At 57.2% G+C, this 25464-nt stretch overlaps 2 protein-coding genes and 3 non-coding genes across 19 annotated transcripts in view; all 5 read right to left on the bottom strand.

Moving 5' to 3' along the window:
• Positions 1-1638: 1638 nt before the first annotated feature.
• TMEM86B (transmembrane protein 86B) lies at positions 1639-3764 on the bottom strand. Of its 2 annotated transcripts, NM_173804.5 has the most exons (3): positions 3692-3764; positions 3192-3438; positions 1639-2564 (listed from the first exon to the last, which is right to left on the bottom strand). In NM_173804.5, the coding sequence occupies exons 1-3, from the start codon at positions 3740-3742 to the stop codon at positions 2182-2184; spliced, it is 681 nt and encodes a 226-aa protein (NP_776165.3). In that variant the 5' UTR covers positions 3743-3764; the 3' UTR covers positions 1639-2181. The 2 variants fall into 2 exon arrangements, with proteins under 2 accessions (NP_776165.3, NP_001358942.1); NM_001372013.1 differs by having other exon boundaries at positions 3192-3764.
• PPP6R1 (protein phosphatase 6 regulatory subunit 1) overlaps positions 3219-25464 on the bottom strand; it is a 30800-nt gene continuing 8554 nt past the window's right edge. For 11 of the 14 annotated variants that reach the window (XM_047438423.1, XM_047438429.1, XM_047438426.1 and 8 more), the window contains 23 exons: positions 21878-22110; positions 20493-20679; positions 20266-20403; positions 20121-20186; positions 17377-17489; positions 17167-17280; positions 16478-16640; positions 16240-16392; positions 15946-16080; positions 15237-15301; positions 15000-15115; positions 14827-14912; positions 14595-14684; positions 14406-14503; positions 11914-11971; positions 11644-11822; positions 7076-7212; positions 6803-6983; positions 6599-6669; positions 6411-6492; positions 5775-5885; positions 5614-5685; positions 3219-3786 (listed from right to left, as the gene is read on the bottom strand). In XM_047438423.1, coding sequence (XP_047294379.1) covers positions 3768-3786; positions 5614-5685; positions 5775-5885; positions 6411-6492; positions 6599-6669; positions 6803-6983; positions 7076-7212; positions 11644-11822; positions 11914-11971; positions 14406-14503; positions 14595-14684; positions 14827-14912; positions 15000-15115; positions 15237-15301; positions 15946-16080; positions 16240-16392; positions 16478-16640; positions 17167-17280; positions 17377-17489; positions 20121-20186; positions 20266-20403; positions 20493-20679; positions 21878-22104 — 2661 coding nt within the window. In that variant the 5' untranslated portion in view covers positions 22105-22110 and the 3' untranslated portion in view covers positions 3219-3767. Of the gene's footprint in view, positions 3787-4779; positions 5533-5609; positions 5686-5774; positions 5886-6410; positions 6493-6598; positions 6670-6802; positions 6984-7075; positions 7213-11643; positions 11823-11913; positions 11972-14405; positions 14504-14594; positions 14685-14826; positions 14913-14999; positions 15116-15236; positions 15302-15945; positions 16081-16239; positions 16393-16477; positions 16641-17166; positions 17281-17376; positions 17490-20120; positions 20187-20265; positions 20404-20492; positions 20680-21877; positions 22111-25464 lie in introns of those variants that run through there. The other 3 variants (NM_014931.4, XM_047438420.1, XM_047438421.1) reach the window with 2 other exon arrangements.
• MIR6804 (microRNA 6804) lies at positions 5886-5953 on the bottom strand. The gene has a single exon (NR_106862.1). It is a non-coding gene; the product is annotated as a microRNA 6804 (primary transcript).
• Positions 14913-14977, bottom strand: MIR6802 (microRNA 6802). The gene has a single exon (NR_106860.1). It is a non-coding gene; the product is annotated as a microRNA 6802 (primary transcript).
• Positions 20187-20251, bottom strand: MIR6803 (microRNA 6803). Its single transcript, NR_106861.1, has one exon. It is a non-coding gene; the product is annotated as a microRNA 6803 (primary transcript).

The raw sequence follows: 25464 nt of genomic DNA on the forward strand, positions 1-25464 counted from the left end.
AGGCCCCCAGCCCCTCCTCCCCCAGACCCAGAAGTCCAGGTCCCCAGCCCCTCCTCCCTCAGACTCAGGAGTCCAGACCCCCAGCCCCTCCTCCCTCAGACCCAGGAGTCCAGACCCCCAGCCCCTCCTCCCTCAGACTCAGGAGTCCAGGCCCAGCCCCTCCTCCCTCAGACTCAGGAGTCCAGGCCCAGCCCCTCCTCCCTCAGACTCAGGAGTCCAGGCCCCCAGCTCCTCCCTCAGACTCAGGGGTCCAGGCCCCAGTCCCTCCTCCCTCAGACTCAGAAGTCCAGGGCCCCAGCCCCTCCTCCCTCAGACCCAGGAGTCCAGGTTCCAGCCCCTCCTCCCTCACCTCCAGGAACCCCTCATGTCTGCAGGCCCCACGTGCCCCTGGAATCTGCACACCCAGACCCCCGTCCCTCCTGCTACACTTCACTGCGCAATTTCCTCTTTCCCCACCTTTCGCCAGGTCTGAGTGGAGAGGGTAGGAGATGAGGAGGAAGTGGAGGTTTCGAACCTGAGTCCAATCCTTCAGATCCTCCTCATGCCTGACCCTTCCTCAAGGAAATCCCTCAGCTTCCACTTCTCCTCACTCCAACTGTGGATTCCTGTCCTCACTTTCCTTCCTGGTCCCCGTCCTCCAGGCTCCCCACCTTCCCTTCCCACCTCTGTACTCTCACATCTGAGTCCCTAAATGCAGGTCATGGATGGAGAAGTCACCTCTCTGCTGTAAGAGTCCCTAAATGCTGGCCATGGATGGAGAAGTCCCCTCTCTGTCGTAAGAGTCCCTAAATGCAGGTCATGGATGGAGAAGTCACCTCTGCTCTAAGAGTCCCTAAATGCAGGTCATGGATAGAGAGGTCGCCTCTCTGCTGTAAGAGTCTCTAAATGCTAACCATGGATGGAGAAGTCGCCCCTCTGCTATGAGTCACTGAAAGCACATCATGGATGCAGAAGTCAAATAGGGTCTTGGAGAGCAGCTTGGACCCTGTCAAGTCTTCAGATGCAGAATCTGAGGACCTGAGGGATAGCAGCTTGCCGAGGTCACACAGCCTTGACAAGGAGCACAGCTGGGTTCCTCCTTCCCATTTGATTCCTACCCCCTTGCCGCCCTCCCTCCTCCAAGACCCCTCATCCTCAAGCCTCCCACCCTTCTCCCGATACTGCATGTGACTGCAGCGGGTTGTATCCCCTAGAAAGATATGTCCAAGTCCTAACCCCAGATACCTCTGCAGGTGACACTACTTGGAAATAGGGGCTTTGCAGACATACTTAAGGATCTTGAGATAGAATCACCCTGGGTTTAGGGTGGGCCCTAAATCCAATGACCTGTGTCCCTAGAAGGATGCGGACACAGAGGGAGGCTGCCAGTTGAAGACAGTCACATGAAGACGGAGAGACACAGCCACAGGCCGATGGAAGCCAGGGATTCCCGGGAGCCTCCAGAAGCCGAGAGGGCAAGGACGGATTCTTCCCTGGAGCCTCAAGAGGGACCATGGGCCGGAAAACACCCGGATTTTGGACTTTGGGTCTCCAGAACTGCAGGAGAGTCCATTCATCTTGTTTCAAAGCATCTGGCTTGGGGTAATTTGTGACAGCAGCCTCAGGAAACTAACACAAAGACCAAACAGTCCTCTTGGCTCAGTTCTGCACAATCCTCACTTTATCCCCCCGAATCCCCCCACCAGAGGGCCATGGAGGGTCCCACTGGGCACCAGGCCTGGTCCATGGGGAGCGACAAAGAACCTTCTGCTGTCATTAACCGCGATGGTTTATCACAATCATGACCCTCCCCGAGGCCTCTCCTACGGTAACAGCAACATCTACGGTTCCACACCCACAGGGAAAACGGATTCAGAGCAGCAGCAGGGGGCGGGCAGGCTGTGGGGCCGACAGTGAACATGGAGGCAGGCTGGTGGCTGGGAGGGCTCCATGTGGGCCTGGCTGAGGAGCCAGGGATCTGGAGTCAGAACCGGGGGAAGGCAGCTGGAACCCAGTAGTGGACTTGGAATTCCGCAAATCGTCCTCAAACGTCTTCAGCCAGAAGCGACGGCGGCAGCGGCGCCTGCAGACAGGCGTCAGGAAGCTTCGCTGCTGAGGGTATTTCTCAGGCTGGGCTGGGCTGGGAGGCCCAGGTCCTTGCAGGAGGAGAGGGCCTGAACACCGGCCCTTCAAGCTCCCTAGTCAGTCAGTCTTGGGCACCGGGCTCCTGAGGGCTGACAGTGTGATGAGGAGCTGGGCAGCATAGTAGGTGGTCATGATCACCAGGTGGGCATGGGGCAGGGGCTGGGCGAAGGTGTCCCAGGCCAGCACGCCATCAGAGAGCGTGAAGAGCAGCGCGCCCCAGCCGGCACTCCCGCCCTGGGCCAGGCCGCGCCACAGCATGGCCATCAGGATCAGCCCATAGGCTGCCACCGGCAGGACCATATCCGGCTCGAGGTGCTGGAGCACAAGGCTGAGGTAGGGGCCAGGGGCCAGGATGATGAGCAGCAGCAGGCCGGGCTGCAGGGGAGAGAAGCCGAAGGCCCAGACGTAGAGGAGGTGGGCGGTGGCAAAGGCGGCCATGCCTGGCGGGAGAGGGGTGGGGTACCAGTGAGGAAGGCCCATCCTGGGAATGGCCCCGAGGTCACCCCTCAGGGCCTAAGAGAAGGACCATCCCAGAGCACCAGGCCCCACCCTGGCCGAGCCTCCTTGCAGGTCTCCCCACATGCAGTGTCCATCCTTGCTCTGCTCAGAACTGCCAGGAGGCCCCACCTTCCCTTGGCCTCCAAAGCCCCATGGCCTCCAGCTCTCCAGCCACTCTGCGCCAGCCACCCTGGCCTGCTGGGCTACAAGCACCTGACACGTCCCTGCCCCGGAGCCTTTACACTCGCCCTTCCTCCACACAGGCATACAGCCCTTCAGCTCTGCCCAAATGTGACTTCCTCAGTGAGGCCTTCCTCAGCAACCCTGCTTCAAACTGCAGTACCTCCAGCAGGTCCTCACTGCCCTCTGCGCCACCTCAGCTACTGCCCTAACACCGCCTGCCCCCACCCCTCGCTGGAGCGTGAGCTGCCTCGGTCACGGCTGCGCCCCCCACTGTGCCTTTGACCACTGGAGCTCTCACAGGAGCCCTCTGCACCCAGGCTCCCATCCAAGTGCTGGGGCCTCTCTCACACGGGCATCTGGAAAGCGTCACAGCACCTTCCACTCACCAGGGACGAAGGCTGCCGGCCAGATGAGGCAAGCGTCCCCCACAGCCGAGCACACAAGGGCTCCCTGGAGGAGCTGGGTGTAGCCCCCGCTTGGGGACATGACCCACAGGAACCCAGCCAGGCAGAGGACGGGCAGGCACTTGACCAGGGCAGCGAACCAGGACAGCTGGTCCTCGGGAATCCAGAGGCAGAAGTACACGCAGCAGGAGAGGATGAAGGGGCTCAGCCACCTGCAGACATCTGGGCGCTTTGGGGAGTGGGGAGCTACTGAGCCGAAACCCAGCCCAGCCCCCATTCTTGGGACTCAGATCTCATGGCTCCTGTCCCACCCCCACCTGGGACCCCAGCTGTACAGGCTGGACCCATTCAGGGACCAGGCTGCCAGAACCCAGCTTCCCAGGGCCCAACCAACTCAAGGACAGCAGCTCCCAGACCCGCCGGCTGCTGGGGTTCCAGGGCCCTGTCCCCCCAGCCCCAGGCACAGCTCAGAAGGCTCTCACCTGGGCTGAGCAGTGAGTCTTCAGGGTCTGCCCCGCTTTGCCAGCGTCCATGCTGGCCTGATAGCCCCAGAGCGACCTAATCTGGGAGCGAGTGGCTTCAGGGGGTGGAGGGGAGGGCTCATGGTTACACGTTAACCCAAGGAGCGTCCTGTGGACTCTGTGACTGATAACAGGGCCCAGGGAGATGTTGTCCTCACCCTGGGGATGGCCCTGCCTGGCGCCCGCTGATAAAGCACTGTTGGCACTGGGGGTCCCTCTGCCCTAGCCTGCTGGGACATGGCTTCCTCCTCCTATCTGCCTGGGGAGGTTAGGCCCACAAATGCCTGTCCCCTTGTCCTGGGCCCCAACAATCAGAAGAGATGGGGTGCAGAATTCCAACAGCCACCCCATCATGGGAAGCGGGAGAGGGGCTGGCTGGCAGGAGTGCCCCTGGAGGGATGGGAAGGCGAGTCTGTCCTTCACTTGCTGCCCTAGCCGTCTCCCTCCCTGCTCCATGAAACCTTTCCTCATTCTGCTCAACCCCACCAAGCCCTCAGGGGCTCCACCACAAACACTGCTTCAATGGGTGACCAGGAGGGACCACCACGAATGCGGGGAACAAGCACCCTCTCCTGTTAGCTGAGCGAGCCCCCAGGTGACCTCCAAGCCAACTGCCACCCCAGTGAGGACGCTGTCCTCATGGCCCGGTCCACACGCTCCGGTTTCCCAGCGCCGCTCACCGGTGCCACTCGCTGCACACGCAGCCTACACTTCTACCTTCTACCTGAAAGACTCAGACCTACTGGGCGCCAGTACCCAGCCTCAATGCTGGGCTTGGTTACTGGGGGTAAGCAGGGGCAGGAGCAGGGATTTGAGCCTGTCGGTGGCTTCTATCCTCTGCCCAAGGCCCTGCCCACAGGTGGGGTAGACCTGGCAGGAGCCCTCACAGCCAGTGCCTGGCCCAGCCTGGGGCCTCTGCAGCCACAGGGCTCCCTCTGGCAGGACAGTGTGGGGGCAGACTGGGTCAGGAGCACCCCCAGCCTCTGGGGTGCAGGGATAATACAGGCTCCCCACCCCGCATCCCAGAACGTAAGGTCTGACCAGCAGAATCGTAAACTGCCTTCCTTTATTTATATTTGCAATATGAAATAGAAGCTCGGCACAAACGCACGCACACTCACACCAGCCTGGGAGGAGGGAGCTGGGGACAAGGTCACTTGGCAACAGGGCTGGGACCTCAGACCCTCAAGGCCCCTGGGGCTGTTGCCGGGGAGGCCCCTGCTCCCCAGAGCCGGACTGGCCTGGTTGAAAGTGCAGGGTCTGGGCAAAGGCACGGCCCCCACTCGGGACCCTCTGGCACCCCCACCCACGCTGGGCCGTCCCCCATGGTGGACCTGAGCTAAAAGGCCGGGTGTGGGCGTGGCCGTCTGCGCTGCAGCGTGGGACAGCTGGGCACGTGGGTGGCAACCTTGGGACCCCTAACACCAGCTCCCGCTGGGACGGAACAGGGAAGGCTGTGCTTTGGAGCCGCCAGCCCAGTTCGGTGTCCTCACTCTCTCTCGCTCTCCTCCCTCTCTCTATATAATATATAATATATGTTTCTCTCTCTCCATTCTCTCTATTTGACTCTCTGTATCTTTATTCTAGGAGGCAACGCTCCAAAACTTCTCTTCTCAGTGCAAATGGGGGTGGGTTGGGCCTGTCTCCCTGGCACCAGCCTCCTGGGGGTCCAGAGGAGAGAATGTGGGGGTGTCAGGGTGATGAGGGCAATGGGGGCCATCGTGGGACCCGCCCTGCCCCCACCCCGGGAGATCCACGGGAGGACGGAAGATTTGGCCGCCGCTGCCGCACCAGGCAGCTATCTGGAAACAGAGGGAGATGTCGTGTGAGGGTCTAGCAGGCCCAGCCCCACCTACCCAGCCCGAGGCTGCAGCCACACTCACTGGGAGCCTGGGGATGCAGGCCCTTCCGGGGCAGAGCCATTGGGTATCGGAGGAGGCGTGAGGGCCTGGGCACTGTCAGGGGAGAGAGGGGATGTGCAGAGGTCACTTCCTGCCCCACCAGCCCCACCCCCACCCCCCCGCCCTGCTGCCCTGGTGCTCACCTCTGGCTTTGGGGAAGCCCCAAGGGCTCTGGGCTCTTCTCCCCTTCTGTGGTCTGGGGGGGCTGGTGGGCCCCGGAGGCTGGGACAGAGGTAGAGGGGTCTCTGGTTGCACTGTGGGTGAGAGGCAGGTGCGGCTGTCAGCGTGGCCCCCACCGTCACCTGCTGACACCCTCACATCCCACCCGACTGAAGTCGGCTCACTGGGTGTGTGTCTGCCACCTGCCCCACGGGGAGGGGCCTCCCGAGGACGCAGCTGGCTCAGCGTGGAGGGACAGCACAGCCCTGGACAGGAAGACAAGCACCCCTCTTCCCGCCTCCTGTCCCTGTGGAGGAGGTACTCGAGGCCGGCTGAGACAGCCCCAAAGGGTCTTCTGCATGCTCTCACCCTCCCAATCCTTCACACCCTCCAACGAGCCCTTCCCAACCCTGGGGCTCAAGGGCCCCAAGCATCCCAGGCTACTAAGAGAAGAACCAGCCTACAGAGTGCAAGGGGCTGGGGCACAACATGAGGCTGCGCCTGGGGGTCCTGCAAAGGAGGCCTGGAGCAGCTCAGGGACAAGATGAACCCAGAGCCCACCTCAGCGAAGAGGAGAAAAGACTTCTCCCGATACTAGGCAGCCCCACCTCGCTGCTCACCTGTCCGAGGAGCTGGGGGCAGAACGGATCCCGTGGAAGGTGGCCTGAAGGTCCCCGATGCTAACCAAGGCCTGGCAAGGGGCTGTGGGGGATAAGAGATCTCAGCTGCAGCTCCCAGCAAGCTCGGAGCTGGCCAGGCTGCTCTCTCTGCCCAGGGCCGCGGGTGGGCAGGGCAAAGCGGGGCTCACCTGAGGGCTCCGTGACTTTGCTGCCTTCTGTGGCTTCCTGAGGTGCTGAGGGGGGTGTGGGGTCCTGAGACCTGGTAGGCGAGAGAGGCAGCCCAAGGGGGCAGCTAGGGTTAGCACTCGAGCCTATGAGAGGACGGGGACCCCATGGCCACCTCCTGGCCTCGGGATACCAGCACCATTTAGCCCGTTCCATCCGGTTCTCACCTGAGCTGCAGGGCGTCACGGGCAGGAGGGCTGGCCAGGCTCTGAGTGGGGAGGCCCTGGGGCACACTGAGGGGCCCCTGTGGGGCTGGAGGCCCAGTGTGCAGCTCTTCCTCCCCGGAGACTCGGGGGCTGGTCGGGGCATCTGTAGGCACTGGGTCAAAGGTGGCTGTCCAGCTGGGGCCTGGGATAGAGGTGGGGGAGCGGGATGGAGGGTGAACTCAGTAGCAGGCAGACAGCCCTGTGTACACCTGACCACACCGCCCATTCATTCACCTGGAGGCTGAGGGCCAGGGCTGGGGTAGGACAGAGGGGTGGCCCCTCCACGGGCTGCACAGCCAATGCCCTCCTCGTCTTCCTCCTCCTCCTCGTCCTCCTCTTCTTCGTCCTCACTGTCTGTGCTGCCTCCACTCCTGCCCCAGAAACCACCTCGTCAGCTAGCTGTGTGGGACAGACCGGCCGACACCCATCCTGTTCCCTGCAGCCCAGGGTCAGCCCAAGGAGAGCGGGCTGGGATGACAGGCAGGTCACAGAAGGGTCCAGGGAGCCTGGGGTGTGACGACACCAGGAGAGGCTGGGAGAGGGAGTTCTGAGCCAACGGCAAGAACACAGGCGGGCAGGGACAGAATGCGGCCGTAAGGAGACCGTCCGTCGCCAGTCATCCGTGGAGGGCAGGCCCTGGGGAAGTGGGCTGAGCCTCAGCCATGGCAACCAGAGCAGACAGACCCACTCACCAGCTCTCAAGCCACCTCCCAGCCGTCACCTCACACGGTCACCACAGTGACAGGCCTTCCCACCAGCAGGCCCACCCTCTGGACAGAGGCTTCACACTACTCTCTCCCTCCAACTAGAAACTCCAAGAAGGCAGAGATGGCTGAGTTTTGCCACTGCTGTATCCTCAGCCCTGAGAAACCACCAGGCACCCATAGCTGCTCCAAAAACACTGGCTGAATGTTGACTAACACACACCTGTGAGCATGAAGAAAATCCAAGCAACCTACGTGCTGATCAACCGGGGAAGGGGTAAGCAAAGTAACACTAAAACTAAGCTTTAACAACGAGGGTGCACTCTGAAAAACGCCATCATTAGGCGATTTTGCTATTGTGTGAACATTCTAGAGTGCACTTACACACACCTGGATGGTGGCGCCTCCTGTACACCTAGGCTCTGTGGTATAGCCTATTGTTCCTAGACTACCGACCTATACAGCATGTTACAGTACTGAATACTACAGGCAATTCTAACAATGGTAAATGTTTGTGTATCTAAACATAGGAAAAATACAGCAAAAATAGAGGATTATAATCTCACGGGACCACTGTCATATGTGGTCCATCGCTGACCCAAAGATGCAGTATGGGACTATATACTATGTCTAAAATGCTGACCCAATATTTTTGTCTTAACAGAGTAACTGACTACTTTAACTGGAAAGTAATATATCTGTATATAGTTAAAAGTAAACTAAAATACTCAACGACTAAGGAGTATAAAGGAAGCCCCTCAACCTAACATAAGGCATCTACAAAACCCCACAACTAACAGCATGCTTACATGGCAAAACGCTGAATGCTTCCCCCTAAGATCAGGAACAAAACAAGGATGCCTGTTCTTGCCACTTCTGTTCAACATTGTCCCGGAGGCTAGCCAGGGCAACCAGGCAAGAAAAGGAAATTAAAATCATCCAGATTTGAAAGGAAGGAAAATGAACTCTATTCACATGACATGATTCTGTACATAGAAAATCCTAAGGAGTCCACTAAAACTATCAGAACTCATACATTAGTTCAGCAAGGTTGCAGGATGAAAGATCAACATACAAAAACCTATTGTATTTTCATATACTTGTAACAATCTGAAAACAATTTCAAGAAAATTCCATTTACAATAGTAACAGAAAGAAGAAAACAGGAATAAACTTAAAAGAAATACAAAGCCTCATACTCTAAAACCTACGAAACATTGTTGAAAGAAATTTTAAGACCTATATAAAAAGACATCCATGTTCACGTATTAGAAGACGCAAGGTGGCTTCTTGGTTGAAATTGACAAGCTGATCCTAAAATTCATATGGAATCTCAAGAAATCCCAAATAGGGCAAAACAATCTTTAAAAAGAAGAACAAGGTTGGAAAACTAAAACCTCCCATTTTCTTTTTTCTGTGAGATGGAGTTTCGTTCTTGTCACCCAGACTGGAGTGCAATGAATGGTGCGATCTCAGCTCACTGCAACCTCTGCCTGCCAGGTTCAAGCGATATTCCTGCCTCAGCCTCCTGAGTAGCTGGGATTACAGGCACCCACCACAGCCGGCTAATTTTTGTATTTTTAGTAGAGATGGGGTTTCACCATGTTGGCCAGGCTGGTCTCAAACTCCTGACCTCAGGTGATCCATCCACCTTGGCCTCCCAAAGTGCTGGGATTACAGGTGTGAGCCACCGTGCCCAACAAACCTCCCATTTTCAAAACTTACTATAAAGCAACAGCAACCAGGCCAGTGTGGTACTGGATAAAAACAACACACAGACTGATAGAACAGAACAGAGAGGGAAGAAACAAACTCATACATATGGTCAAATATTTCCTTTTTACACAGGTGCCAAGATGATTCAGTGGAGAAAGGACAGTGTCTTCAACAACTGGTGCAGGGAAAACTGGTTATCTATATGTAAAGGGATGAAGGTGGACCACCTCACATCATATACAAAATTTAGCTCAAAATGAATGGAAAACCATAGAAATAATGCTATAAAACTCTTAGAAGAAAAGAGAGGGCTAAGTCAAGATGCTGGATTTGGCAGTGACACACTTGTGCACCAACAACACGTGCAAGGGTATTCACAGCGGCCGCACTCACAGCGGCTGCACTCACAGCAGCGAGCAACAGGAACCTGCCCAAAGGCCTGTCAACTGCAGAACAAGCAATTCAGCTGCAGCTCATCATGCATGGCACTGCCCCACTGCACGAGAGCCAGGGGCACCCAAACACACAACAGGGAAGGAGCTCACAAGCAGAGTGTTGAGCAACAGAGGTCAGACATAAAAGGAGATGCTGTATGCTATATCAAGTGAAAACAGAGACAAAACTCATCTACAGGGTTAGAAGCCAGGACAACTTTACCCTCAGAAGGGAGGATACTGGCTAACAGAGGGGATGTGGGTACTGGGAAGGTCCTGCTCCTGGGTCTGGGCACTGAGGAAGGATATCCATTGGCCACACACTCAGGATCTGTATGTACACTTGTCTATACGCATGTTACATGTCAATAAAAAGTGAAAACAGCCTAATTCCGAAATCAAAAGTCATGAGTCAAAAACTCAGTTGCAGATGATGACTTAGTGTTCAGGCTGTCAAATCTACATGGCATGAACCCATTTCATCACAGCGACTCTGGGGCCGGCCAGTATTAAGAGAAAAAAAAAAAACAATGTAACATTTGCACTAAAATGTCATCACAGCCTGATTGGAGAGGGACGTCATCATCTCTCATTTTACTGGAATTAGAGAAGAGAGAAGCTGCCTGGGACCATCTTACCCCCCTTTCTAGGAAAACGTGTGAGAGCTAACACGAGGAAGTGAAGTGAAGGGATGAAGGAAGGAGACAGGGAGGCGGGAAGAGAGAGACACACACAGACCAAGCCATACCTCAGGACCTGCCTATTTTTTCAGCCACAGAGATTATCCCTTTCTTTTCATAACTTAACTCATTTGAATTAGATTCCTTTTTTTTTTTTTTTCTGAGACAGAGTCTCGCTCTGTCGCCCAGGCTGGAGTACAGTGGCGCAATCTTGGCTCACTGCAAGCTCCGCCTTCCGGGTTCACGCCATTCTCCTGCCTCAGCCTCCCAAGTCGCTGGGACCACAGGTGCCCGCCACCACGCCCGGCAAATTTTTTGTATTTTTAGTAGAGACGGGGTTTCACCATGTTAGCCAGGATGGTCTTGATCTCCTGACCTCGTGATCCGCCCGCCTCAGCCTCCCAAAGTGCTGGGATTACAGGCGTGAGCCACCGTGCCCGGCTGATTTTTTTTAATTTGTTGATTCTTTTTTTTTTTTTTTTTTTTGAGACCAGGTCTCTGTCACCCAGACTGGAGTGCAGTGGTGCGATCTCAACTCACTGCAACCTCCGCCCCCCAGGGTAAAGCGATCCTTCCACCTCAGCCTCTCAAGTAGCTGGGACTACAGGCACACGTCACCACATCCAGGTAATTTTTGTAGAGACAGGGTTTCGCTATGTTGCCCAGGCTAGGTCTCAAACTCCTGAGCTCAAGCGATCCATCCACCTTGGCCTCCTCCCGAAGTACTGGGATTACAGGCTTGAGCCACTGTGCCCGGCTAATTTGTTGATTTCTTAATGCATCATCTACCTTTTTTTTTGAGACAAGTCTGGCTCTGTTGCCCAGACTGGAGTGCAGTGGTATGATCTCGGCTCACTGCAACCTCTGCCTCCCTGGCTCAAGCCATCCTCCCACCTCAACCTCCCGAGTAGCCAGGACTACAGGTGCACACCACCATGCCCATCTAACTTTTGTATTTTTTGTAGAGACAGGATCTCCCTATGTTGCCCAGGGCTGGTCTCAAACTCCTGAGCTCAAGCAATCCATCTGCCCTGGCCTCCCAAAGTACTGGGATTACAGGCACTCAGGGATTACATGAGCCCACCATGCTTGGCCTTGAATTAGATTTCTATCACTCAAAAGTGAAAGTGCCCCCAACTAATACACACACCAATGCAGGTTCCTTATTTTCTTCATTCACTTCAGCCTCAGTCCAAATGTGTTGGGGGGACCCCTTGGCCCTGCCGTGTGGTGGAAGCTTGGAGAAGGGAAACTGGAGGGGGACTCACCGGACACCAGGTGGCTGGCCCAGACGGGCCCCCCTGGCCAGCTGGCTGCCCTGCCAGGCGCCATCTTCTCCATCAGACTCCCCTGAGCCCTGGGCCTCTTCCTCGTCCTCCTCTTCCTCATCATCATCAAACTGCTGGATGCGGTCCTTGTAGCATATCTCAAGTAGGTTGGCGTTGGGCTGCAGGGCACAGGGGTGGGAGGATGGGCCACACTGCCCACAGCCCCACACCCCTCCACCCGCCACAACCAGGGGACAGGGCAGTACTCACGTTCTCATCGTCAGCATTGAGGGAGAAGGTGATGTTGGCTGTCTTGTCAAAAGGTGCGCTAGGAGAGAAGGCAAGGCATGGTGAGAAGGTCCACCTGGGGGTGGGGGCAGCACAGGACAGGCCACATTTCTTTCTTCACTCAACACAGAGCTGACCCTCATTACTTGCAGATTTGGTATCTGCAAATTCACACACAACCCGAACCACTGGTCCTAAGGGGCAACGCATACATGAATATCAACATCTCACATATGATCACTTTAAATCCTTAAAACCACTCATTGAGGTAGGCTGTTTCCCTTGGCTCTAGAAGTGAGAAAATGGGGCTCGGAAATGTTAAGCGACTCTCCTCAGGCTCTTCCAAGGACAGGTGCCAGAGAGGGATTCAGATCCATGCCCTTGTCCCCATCCTTGGGGCATCTGTAGGAGGCTGACACTCACACCAGCCAGGCACAAGCAGAATGTGAGACTACAGCCCAATAAAGCACATCCCCTAACCTCAAGATGTCTACGGTCCGCGGCTGAAATTCTAAATTATGGGAAAAAGAATCACGTCAAAACTTAAACTGTGCCTGCCAGGGCCCCACCTCCCTCACCACGAGGGTCTAATGATCAGGGTCCACATTCTGTCCCACGTGTTACGGACAGTTCAAGGGATCATTTGTCTCAAATTCATGAAAAATTCTGCCACAAAGATCAATGGATAAAGGACAGTTAATTCTTAAAGGACACTAAGTATGTGACAGACATTACTCACGCACTTCATTCTCACAACCACCTTCCAAGGCAAGTGTCCTTAGTCCCTCCTAGACACTGAGAAGCAGCGGAGCAGAGACCACGCTGGGCACACAGTGGGTCTAGGGCAGGGCAGCCCATGTCCCCGTGGCACTGGCAGCCTCAGCTGACCTGGCTTCTGCTACAGGAGCTATGCGGGGCAGCATCTTCAGCCTTGAGATGATCAAACCAGTCATCCACTTTCCATTCCGGAAATCTTTCTGGGTTTAGTTTTGTTCACTTAACTTCTTAACCCCTCTGGAATTTTCTTGGTAGAGGAAAAGCTAACAGTTTCATCCCGAAAGGGGCAGCTGGTGACCCCAATGCCATCTACCAGTCAGTCCCTTCATTCTCCTGCCAGGGTGGGGTTTTCTTCTTTTTTTTTTTAATTAAAAAAGCAGAGATGGTCTCACAATGTTGCCCAGGCTGGGCTGAAATTCCTGAACTCAAGCGATCCTCCTGCCTCGGCCTCCCTAAGTGCTGGGATTAAGATGTGAGCCACTGTGTCCAGCCCAGTTTTCACTTGAGCATCTTCTCCAGGGGTCTCGGCACAGGCCACTGACCCACAAAGACCAACGCTCTGCAAGTCTCCATGCTGGGCACAGAAGCAGCCAACACAGGATATCACGTCTGCATCTGAGAGGACCTCTGTCCAGCTGTGGACTAAGCCAGGAACAGCTGACTATCCCTCATCGTGGTGTCCCTTACGCTGTGCTGTACAGGGACCCCGGGGCAGCCATGGGCAGCCATCCAGCTCCCACACACTAACCAGCTATGTCCTGGGGCCTCAGTCTCCCTGGCCGTAAATGAGCTCATCGTGGGGAGCAAGACAGAGTCTCGCTCTGTTGCCCAGGCTGGAGTGCAGTGGGACAATCTCGGCTCACTGCAACCTCCGCCTCCCAGGTTCAAGCGATTGTCCTAACTCAGCCTCCCAAGTAGCTGGGACTACACGCACCTGCCACCACGCCTGGCTAATTTTTGTATTTTTTAGTAGAGATGGGGTTTCGCCATGTTGGCCAGGCTAGTCTCGAACTCCTGACCTCAGGTGATCTGCCTGCCTCGGCCTCCCAAAGTACTGGGATCACAGGTGTGATCCACTCCGCCCAGCCACTTTTTTCTGACTCCAGAAGCAACAGATGCTTGTGGCAAGAAACTCAGAAAAGTTCATGATCATAACACCCAGAGGTGACTGATATTAAGATGTGGTTGACCCACAAATCAAAACAAGCAGAATTGGTAATTGGAAAAAAAAAGTTTTGTTACCCCGAGGCCTGTGGAGGGGAAAACTGGACCCCCATGTCTGGCAGACTCCTGAGCCAGAGGGCATCCATGGAGGTGCAGCTCTGCCCCACAGTCCCTGCGCCAGGACTGCTGGTCCCCACTACCCTGAGCCCCTCCCGCCTGGAACCCCTAAGGCTAGCTCCAGGAGTGGGAGGGACCCGCTCTGTGTCCCCAGCACAGAAGATGTTTGTGCCCCACCCTCATGGCCTGCCTCTCGGAGAGAAGAGACTGCAGAGCTGGAACTCATGTAACAGGAGGCAGACACACGAGGCTGCAGACACACACACAAGGCCACGGCCAACGCGTGCCCAGGAGGGGCCACAGCTGCAGGCTGAGCCCACAGGGCATGTAGGTGCGTGCAGGGGACAGATACAAGTAGGCGCGCCTGCTGCTGCAGAGGCAGGACAGGGCTGTGACCCTGCGCAGGAGACACTCACTTCACACTCTCCTCCTGCTCCCCAAACTCCTCATCATTGAAGCCGAAGTGGTCAATGAAGGCAGAGGTCATGCGCTGCATCTGGAAGTCCATGAAGGCCTGTGGGGGTGCGGAGGTTAGGGCTGGAGGGAGTTGGGCAGGACCCCACTCCAGCATAGCCCAGCACAGCCCCACATAGCCCCACGCCCACCTGCTGCAGCACAGCCTCCTCAGGGAAGTTGAACTCCTTGAGCCGGTCGTCCTCATCGTCACTGGAGGAGTGTAGGTGGTGGGTGTTCACCTGGGGAGAGGAGGGGGCGTCAGGGCCTGCTGGAGCCCCCAGACCAGGGTGGGCAGGCAGCTATCGGTGGCGGTGGGAGGCTAAGACTGGCCCAAGAGAGAGAAGCAGCAGGAGGAGTGCAGGAAGAGAAGCTGGGCCTCACCAGGTCCACCATGTTCTTCTTGTTGGTCTCCGCCAGGGGCCCCGATACGAAGGCTTCCCACTGCTCCTGCTGCTCGCTGGGCAGCTCTGCTTAGGTGAGAGGGGTGAAGACGTGAGGCATCTCGGGGCTTCAAGCCCCCCACCTAGCCCTCAGGCCGGCCTGGGGACCCTCACCCTTCAGCAGCTGCCGCAGCTGCTCTGCATTGGGCCCCTTCTCCGTGTTCTGCACCAGGGCACCGGCCACTCTTGTCAGGTGACCCATGTAGCCTTTCCGAGGGCCTCCCGCACACCTGGCAAGAGTGAAGGCCGCGGCTGCAAGCCAGGACTGGACCCAGGGATGCCCAGCCCCAGCCCGGCCCCCCATCCAGGCAGCCCCAGCCCCTGGAGACATGAAGGGCAGCAGGTGCTCACTGTACACGGTCGTTCTCCTCCCAGGACGTCAGGATCCGCTCCACCAGGCGGCACTGCTGCAGCAGCTGCGGGAGAGCGGGACAGGATGGCCTGGAGGGGTGGTCTGCACACATGTGGGGAGCTCTGCACTGCAGCAGGGGTCCCTTCCTCAGCAGATGCTTCACCAGGCCCCCGCTCATCCAGAGACGGGGATGGGAAGGAGGGATGCAAGCTGGGGCTTGGGACCCTGGCATCCACCCAAGTCTCTCTGGTCTTTCTACAAAAGAATATGTGGTGCATACACACACACACACACACACACACACACACACACACACACACATGCATGCACTAACGGACACACACATGCTCACACATACATGTTCACATACTCGTGTGCACTCACACACATACATGCTCTCACACACGCTTGCACTGACACATGCTCACACACGCACGTGTGCGCACTCATGCACACTCAGCTGCTCGCAGGTCTGCTCCCGCCCACCCCTAGCTCTTCAGCTCAAGTCAGGAGCCCACTGCTCCCTGCACCTGCATGTTTCATCCGCGTTTCTCCCTGGCCATGCCTCCCACACCCCATCTGGGCGCTGGCACCTAACACTACCCAACAAACACTTGTGGGAGGAAGGAGTGAGGGGTAGGCCTCTGGAGAGGGTGCGCCCACAGGGGATGGGCCCAGAAGGAGGGGGACCAGGGAGTCCCAGCTCACATGTTTCACAACAGGGTTTTGGATGGGCGTCTCAGGGCTGCTGTCAGGAGGTGGCCCCAAGCTCAGCATGGTGCTCACGCATCCCTCTACTTGGGCATGCAAGAAGTTGTTGAAGACATAATGGAAGAAGAGGTCCTATGGGAGGACACAGGATTGGTACCAGAGAGGCCCCGCCCCAGCCGAGCCCCCAACCCCTGAGCCCCCAGCCGAGCCCCCACCCCAGCCCCCGAACCCTCAGCCCAGTCCAGTCCCCGCCCCAGCCCCTGAACCCCCAGCCCGGTCCAGTCCCCGCACCAGCATGGTGTTGGGCACGTCCAGTGCCAGGAGCTCGTGCGTCAGGGCTGCATCATTGGCGCTCAGGGCACTGGCCAGGAGCTTGACCACGTGCAGCCGCGTGTTGCCCAGAGGCGGAGCCAGCATGCCCCATGTCATCTGTAGCGGCTCCAGCTGCAGACACAGGGAGGCCTGATTCCCAAGGGCTGCCCTTCCTGCTTCCCCCGCCTCCCCGAGGACCAGAACCCACACCCCTGACCTTGGGAGGCTCCAGCAGGAGCTGGTGGAAGCAGCTGAGCCGCGGGCGTAGGGCGTGCAAGGCGCCCACACTGGACACAGTGCTTTCCAGGGCCCCCTGGGCCAGGAGCTCCAGCTGCCCATCCACACTGCTGAAGAAGCTGTTCACGGTCACGGACTCGGACCTGCAGCAGGGCAGGGTCGAAGGCGGAGTGAGCCTAGATGGCCTGTGCGCCCACACAGGAGTAGGCACAAGGACCACGTCTGCAGGGTCTGGAGGAAAACGAGGAGCCACATGCCCCCAGCGCCGCTCTCTTCTGAGGCCCTTCAGACAACACCTGGCTGGGGTGGGGAGCCCGCCAGGCGGCAGCATTGGCAGTCCACTGTGAGAGCACGGGTGAGGGGTGGAGGCGGGAAGGCAAACCCAACAGGCTAGCGGCCTGTGTGGTAAGGCAGGGGCACGGGGGCCTGGGGTCCCTCCCAACACAAGCTGCAGCAGTGGCCTCAGCCTCAGTGCCCTCACTTGTCAAAGCAGACAAGAAGATTCCTCCCTCGGCCCCGTACTGTCCACTGTGCAGGGAGCACAGGCAGCCACAGAGCAAGGTGCCACGGGCGGGGATTTCTCTTGGTGGACACCGAGACCCGCCTCTGAGGGGCCGGAGAGCCCCTGGGGATGGGCAGCATGCATGGTCTGTGGCCCGTATCCCTCACCTCGGCCTCCTGGGCTCCAGCAGGGTCAGCAGCACCTGGATCCCACTGACGATGACAGACTGGCTCTGCTCCCCCTCGAACATGTTGCTTAAGAGCTGCTCAATCGTCTCCTGCCTGCGGGGGCAGGGGCAGGGGTCAGGGTGAGGGGCCAGGGGCCCAGGGCTTCCCCAAGTCAGCTCCCCCCAGCCTTAGCCTTGCCCGCACACCCACTTCTCCAGGGTGGCCAGCAGTTGGTCAGGCTCTGGGCTGTCCTGGACTTGGATCATCTGCTCCCGGCTCAGGCGGATGATGTCACACAGGGACTGGGATGCGTTGGAATGTTGCTGGAACGGGGAGAGACAGGTGAGGATCCTGGTCGGGCCACCGGGCCCTCTGCAGCCTGGTGCTGGGAGCCCCTCCCATGAGCTGACCATCCAGGGAAAAATGGTCACCCAGACACAGGGACACGTGTTACGAAGGAGGAGGGCACAGAGGCACCAACTGCTGGAGGGAAGATGGTGGAGAGAACAGGAAGCCCGGAAGGCTCCCCAGGACAGGAGGCATCCACACAAGGCCCTCATGACCGCATACAGGGCTGGCAGCACCGCCCACAATGACCCAGAAGGCTCTGACTGATGAGTGAATATGCCCAAGCTGGTCTATCCACACAGGAGAGTGCTAATCAGCCAGGAAAAGGAGTGAAACTGATACATGCAACCACATGAATGAGCCACAAAAACATCATGCTAGAGAAAGAAACCACACACAGATCACGTAGTACATGATTCCAATTATATGAAATGTCCAAAGACAAATCCACAGAGACAGAATAGTCTGGTGGTTGCCGGGGGCTAAGAAGAGAAAGGGGAAGATCAGGAGGAGCTGCTAATGAACACAGGGCATCTTTTTTATTTTTTCTGGAGAAAGGGTCTCGGCTGGGTGTGATGGCACATGCCTATAATCCCAGCAGTCTGAAAGGCCGAGGTGGGGCCGGGCGCGGTGGCTCACGCCTGTAATCCCAGCACTTTGGGAGGCCGAGGCAGGTGGATCACGAGGTCAGGAGTTTGAGACCAGCCTGGCCAACATGGTGAAACCCCATCTCTACTAAAAATAAAAAAATTAGCCAGGCGCAGTGGTAGGCGCCTGTAGTCCCAGCTACTCGGGAGGCTGAGGCAGGAGAATCGCTTGAACCTGGGAGGTGGAGGCTGCAGTGAGCCGAGATCGTGCCACTGCACTCTAGACAGAGCGAGACTCCATCTCAAAAAAAAAAAAAAAAAAAGAAAGGCCAAGGTGGCAGGATCACTTGAGCCCAGGAGTTTGAGACCAGTCGGGGCAACATAGCAAAACTCTATCTCTACAAATACAAAAAAATTAGCCAAGAATGGTGGTGTGCATCTCTAGTTCCAGCTGTTCATGAGGCAGAGGCAGGAGGATTGCTTGAGCCCAGGGGGGTCAAGGCTACAGTGAGGCAAGATCACGCCACTGCACTCCAGCCTGGGCAACAGAGCAAGACACTGTCTCAAAAAAAAGACACGGCCTCTACATCACCCCAGGCTTGAGCGCAGTGGTGCCATCACAGCTCACTGCAGCCCTGAACTCCTGGGCCCAAGAGATCCTCCCGTCTCAGACTCTTGAGTAGCTAGGATTACAGGTGTGCACCACCAATGCCAGCTAATTTTTCAATTTTTTGTAGCGACAACGTCTTGCTATGTTGCCCAGGCTAGTCTCAAACTCCTGGGCTCAAGCAATCCTCCAGCCTCACCTGCCAAAGCGCTGGGATTACAGGCAGGACTTGTTTTTTGGAGTGATAAAAAATAATCTAAATTCAACAAGATGATAAACGCTTTGAATACCCTAAAAGCGCTGAATCGTAAGCTTCGGTGGGTGAGTGGTATGCTGTGCAATTTACATCTCAGTAAAGCTGCTACAAAAGAGAGAAAAGAGAGAAGCATAAGCAGAGCTGAGTCTACCCAACGGGCAGCTGCCAGGGCTTGGCAGTGTGGCCCTGGGCCATGCCTCAGGGTCCTCACAGGGACAGGCCCCAGCCTGGGTGAGCCCAGAGCCATCTCTGCTCTGTAAGCCTGTGCGCCTCTGAGGCAGAAGTTGGCATTGGGAAGGACATGTTGCTCCCAGTGGCCTCGGATATCTGAGGCTCTTGACAAACACCCACTCTACACTAGGCCCTGTGCTGGGCACCAGGACAGAGATGGAGACCCAAGCTGGAGAAACACATGGACATGGGGTCCCCCAGAGCTAAAGGGGAGGATGTGAGGGCGCTTGAAAGCAAGGCTGCTGGACGGACACTTAGAAGGACAGCAAGGGGTTCAATCAGGCAGGAGACAGGGAAAAAGCTGCCAGGCCCAGCAATAGCACAGGCCAGGGTGGGCAGGGACGGATGTGGGGCCAGCGCTTGGACAGGCGATGAGGAGGGCCCCTCCCTGCAAGGCATTATGTGCCAAGTTCCTGGGTCATGAAAAAAACCTTTCCAGCACTTTCGGAGGCCACAGTGGGAGAATCACTTGAGTCAAGTTTCTTTCCTTTTCTCAAAGGGCATGGATACACCTGGTTCTCAATGCTCTCTTTTCTCACCAATTTCTTTTCTTTCTTTTTTTTTTTTTGAGACAGGGTCTCACTGTGTCACCCAGGCTGGAGTGCAGTGGTGTGATCATGACTCACTATAGCCTTGACCTCCCGGCTCAAGCAATCCTCCTACCTGAGCTTCCCAAGTAGCTGGGACTACAGGTGTGCAACACCACACTCAGCTAAGTTTTTACGTAGAGACGGGGTGTTACTATGTTGCCCAAGCTGGTCTCAAACTCATGGGCTCAAGTAATCCTCCCACCTCGCCCTCCCAAAGTGCTGGAATTACAGGCGTGAGCCACTGCGTCCAGCCCCAATTCCTCTTTTAAAAGTGGGGAAGTGGGCATGGGGAAGGAACTCTAAGGGGAATCCGCAGGGGCATCGGCAGCACTCACATTCTCATCCTTCGACGGGTGGATCTGCTCAATCAGCCGCTGGACGATCTTCTCCTCGTTGAGCCACTGAGGGTGAGAAGGCGAGGGATGCATCGCTGTCCACCACGCCCAGCCCCCCACCCCCAGAGGAGCCGGCCCTGCTCACATTGACAACATCCTGCCTCAGCTGAGGCCGCTCCACACAGGTGAGCAGGCGCAGCAGGAGGTCCATGATGGCCGAGGTGCCAATGTGCTGCAGCAGCAGGTCCACGAAGTCATCCTTCTTCCGAAGAAAGGACACGAGCTGGGGGCACACGGGCTGCGTCATGCACAGGGCCTGGCCCAGCCACCACCCCTCAACCCACGGTGGCGCCAGGGTGGGGGCCAGGGCACCTGGTCTGTCTTGCGGTTGATGAGGATGCCCATGACCTTGCTGAAGAAGCTGGCCAGCAGTGGGTTGAGGCTGCCGGTGCTCTGCAGGAAGCCGTAGAGCCGGTTCAGAAGGGACTCATCAGCACCCAGGGCATCATTGATCTGGGGCACATCTGAGGTCAGAATCTCGCAGGCCACACTGGGGTACCTGGGAGGCAAGCACAGGCGGGTGGGGGCTCGGGTCGGAGGCCGGGGGCAGGGGGCGGCAAGGCTCCACCCTCTTCTCTGCACCGGGCACTGGGTTTCTGGGAACTGCAGAGACCCCTGTCCAGGAAGGGGAAAGGGCAGAGGACAGGGTGACGCAGAAACAAGGGCCCACACCAGGCCTCCTCCACCCTGCTAACACCCAACCATCCCATCCTAGGCTCCTTACCACCCCCAAGACAAGCTGGTCCTGAAGCTCCTGCGCTTCCCAATCCCCCAGCAGCTAACACTCATCCCTTTTGCCTCTCAGCGGCTTCACTTGCAACCCCGTATGCTGCCCCAGCTCCGGCTGACTCCTGGAACCTTGCTCAACTTCCAACCTCACCTCCTGCCTCCCTCCTCCAAACTTTCACACGGTGCCTGACGGCTCCAAGACAAGAGCTGCCCCACCAGCGTGCCACTCAAGGCCCTGAGGGGCCACAGTCTGCTCCAGGACTGTGGGGAGGTACCCCTTGGGAGGCTGAGGCAGGCATATCACTTGAGGTCAGAAGTTCAAGACCAGCCTGGGCAACATGGCGAAACCCTGTCTCTACCAAAAATACAAAAATTAGCTGGGCGTGCTGGCTTATAGTCCCAGCTACTTAGGAGGGTGAGGCAGGAGAATCACTTGAACTTGGGAGGAGGAGGTTGCAGTGAGCCGATCATGCCTCTGCACTCCAACCTGGTGATAAAGTGAGTCTCAAAAAAAAAAAAAAAAGTGTCTTTTCAGCATCGCTTGGATTAAAAAATAAGTAAAGTGTCTTCAATAGCAGACAAGTGTTTCACAAACATACAAAAAAAGTTTAATAAAAAGTAAATAAAATAAAAGGCGGCGAATAAAGAGAAAAACCAGCCGGGCATGTCGTCACATGCCTGTGGTCCCAGCTACTCGGGCAACTGAGGCGGGAGGATCACCTGGGCCCGTGAATTTGTGGCTGCCGTGACCCGTGACTGTGCCACTGCCCTCCAGAGCACAGGCTTGGTCTGCACCCGGTGAGCTGTGAGGCCTTGTGCAGGAGCCTGGCTGCTCCCAGCCTCGTCTTCCTCATCCCCAAACTGGAGTTTACTGACACTGACGCATTTCAGGGTAGCTGTGAGGCTTGCGTAGTGAAGGTATGTGTGATGCTGATAGGGACGGGCTGGCCAGGAGCTGGGGAACTCACTTGTAGCGCAGCCGCTCCTCACCGCTATCTGGCGGCTCCTGGGTGACCCAGGCCACCATTGCTTGCAGGTGGGGTGGCTGCAGCAGGAAGTCCAGCAGCTTGCGGTTGACGACCTTGCACTCCTGCAGCACGTCTTCCTCGTCCAGCAGCTCGGGCAGGCTCAGGTCCTCCCGCTCCAGCAGCGTGTCCAGGTGCGAGCTTGTGTGCAGGTCAAACTTCCAAAACATGGCGCCCTGCAGGCATAGACACAACCAGCGCCGCGTCAGACGCCCCAGGGAGTCCCCACTGGACGAGGCACTGACCACAGGGGCTGAGTGCCCACCTTGGGCACAGCCTCTCCCCAAGTCCCAGCCCTCTGCCTCATGCTGAGCCCGGCCCCGCCCCGGGACTGCCCGCAGGCTCACTGCCTCCATCACTCAGGCTTAAGGCTCCCAGTGAGCACCAGGCTCCTGCAGTTGCCCTCGAGCCTGCCCCTCTTCCCCCATCTCCAGCCTCCCGGCCGCCTCGCCTGAGGTCCAGGGGGTCATTTCACACCTGAGGCCTCAGGCCTGGTGAAGTCCCCAGGTGTGGACCATGTGCAGGGCCTGCGAGAAGAGGCTGGACCCTGTGCACTGAGGGGCCTCGGGCCCTGTCTCCCCATGAGGGTCTGGGTCCACTATCCCTACTTTTGGGAGAGACACTGCAGAGGCAGGGCCTTAACCTCTGGCTTCAAATTTGCTTCAACCTGTATTTGCTCAACAAACTCAGATGCCCGATGACTTCCAGCACACGGCTGCTGCTTGGCCCAGCAAATCCCCCAAGGCTACGTGGGAGGCATGGGGCGGCGGCAGGGGGAAGAGAGGAAGTCTGTGCATCTCCAGGCTGTGGCCGTTGCCTGGACACCACTCACACACAAACACACCCCAACCATCCTCTCACCCAGCACCTGGGCTGGAACAAGGAAGAGGAAAAGTTGGAAGGGAGGGGCTCCCAGAATAGTCACTGACCAGGACCTGAAGGAACCCAGGGTGGGATAGACAGATTCTGTGGGGGAAGAACAAAGCTGGCAACACCCGGCCCTGACCCTGTCCCCATCTGGAGCTGGCTCCCGCCCTCTGGAGGACAGTGCCTGGTTCCTCAGCCTGGTTCCAGCCCCTAAACGCTCGTGCATGGGAACTCACTGGCAATAAGGAAACACACACAGAGTATTAACAAGATGCCAGGCAACTCCATTCTGAGCCCCTGCCCTGTACTACATCACTGCTCCGCAGAGCCCTAGAAAGCCTCCACACAGACCTTCCACTACAGACCTGACCTGTGACCTGTGCTCTGGGCACTTGATGACAATGGTCCTGGCTCTGCATGTGTGCTGTGCACATGATGTCCAAGCTCACCAGCAGCCCCCAAGAAAGCTGTCATCACTCCGCCACACAGGACAAGGGGCAACCAAAGCCCGGTAAGTCAGGCGGCATCCTGGAATCTCGAAGGCCATCTGGTCCCAGCAGACAGCCTTCACGGAGCTCTCACCAGTTAAGACACTGACCAGAGCTCACGCTCATTACCTGCCTCCTGACAACCGCATCACCAGCTAAGGCAGAGGCCACTGCTACCCCCAAGTCACTACAGAGGATGCTGAGAACAGAGCAGAGCCGGCACAAGAGGCCAAGGGTGCCTCTCCCGCAGGCCCTCACCACCATCACTCCCAGGCACAGATGCTAGTCCCTCTCCTCCAATGCCCTTCTGCAGCTTCTTCCAGTTCAGTCATTCCCTCTGCACAGGCCTCCACCATCTCCTCGAGCCCTGCTGACCTGTCACCTCAGTGCCCACCAGCCCCCAGGCCTGACTCAGCCCCAGGCCCCAGGGAAGAGACAGGGAGACGTGGAGCACCAGGCCCAGGGAAGAGACTTCATCGGAGCTTAGGAGAGCAGCCTGGGCTGACAAAACGCAGGACAGAGTCCCACACATGGCCTCAGGCAGGTCGAACGCCTCTTGGGCCTCCTTTCCTCTCCTTCCTGGCTAGCTTGAAGCCAGGCCAGCCTGGGGCCAGGATCTCCTTGCTCATCCACCCTGACCACCCTAAGGCTGGGCTCAGCACAGAAGGTTGCAGTCCAGACCTTGCTCCCAGTCTGCCCGTCTGCCTCGGTAACTCTAGATTGGCAACAATCTTGATATAACACTATATGGGTCCCTACACCTGGCCAATGACAGTTGAGGGTGGAGCAGAGGGAAGAGTTCCGTGACCAACGACAGTCATGGCGGCAGCAGGAGGACTAGGGGAGATAGCAGCAGCCTCCAGGCATTTGAACCCCTGCTCCTCTGGGGGGCCTGCCAGGTCCCAGTCCACAGCACCCAGTGACTCACCACTTACCCCTCACCAGTCCACTTTTCCCAATAATCCTTTGTTTTTGAGGAGTCTCACTCTGTTGCCCAGGCTGGAATGCAGTGGCACAATCTAGGTTCACCTCAACCTTCACCTCCCGGGTTCAGGCGATTCTTCCGCCTCAACCTCCCTAGTAGCTGGTACTACAAGCATCTGCCACCACACCCGGCTAATTTTTCTATTTTGGTAGAGATGGGATTTCACCACGTTAGCCAGGCTGGCCTTGAACTCCTAACCTCAGGTGATCCGCCCACCTGGGCCTCTCAAAGTGTTGGGATTACAGGCATGAGCCACCATGCCCAGACTCCCAATATTCCTTCTAAGGTTGGGTGTGGTGGCTCACGCCTATAATCCCAGCACTTTGGGAGGCCCAGGCAGGCAGATCACCCGGGGTCAGGAGTTTGACACCAGTCTGGCCAACATGATGAAACCCCGTGTCTACTAAAAATACAAAAATTAGCCGGGCATGGTGGTGTGTGCCTATAGTCCCAGCTACTCGGGAGGCTGAGGCAGGAGAACTGCCTGAACCCGGGAGCGGAGGTTGCAGTGAGTCGAGATTGCGCCACTGCACTCCAGCCTGGGTGGCAGAGCAACACTCTGTCTCGGAAAAAAAAAAAAATCCTTTTAAAGCACAAACATGAGTACCCGCACCTGCTCGGTGATGTGCACTCCACCAAGCCTGCATCCAGGCTCTCGTGCCCCTGCCCAGCCAGCTCACTGACTGACCTCCATGCCCACGGTGACCCCAGTGCCCTGGGGAGGCCGTGCCCCATGCCACCTCGCCAGTGCTCCTGGGGCTGCCACTTCAGGTGTCTCCTGCACAGCCCGTGGCTGCCTGAGGCACAGTGCTGGATGGATATCCAGGAGGCCCTGCGGGTCTGGGTGGATGGGGGCATTCCAGGCAATGATGTCGATGGTATCAGCCACTGCGCTCCAGCACCTGCACTGCGCTGACTACTCTGAAAAGGACTTCACAGCCATCACCTCCACCAACTCTCACAACCACCCTCCAGGGAATGGCCTTATTTTACAGGAGAGGAAACTGAGGCACACCAAAGTAAATGCCTATGCCCCGATCCAGGGGTTGGCGGGCAGTGAAGCTGGCACTCTCAGCTTTCAGAAGTTGTATTTTCAGGGTGCAGAGCCCTTGTCCCAGCACAGGGCCTGTGTAGTGGACACTTAAGGGATGAATGAGCGAGTTCCCGCTGAGCCGGCTCCAGCACTTGCT

This window comes from Homo sapiens, chromosome 19 (assembly GCF_000001405.40).
Source record: "Homo sapiens chromosome 19, GRCh38.p14 Primary Assembly".
Lineage (NCBI taxonomy): Eukaryota > Metazoa > Chordata > Mammalia > Primates > Hominidae > Homo > Homo sapiens.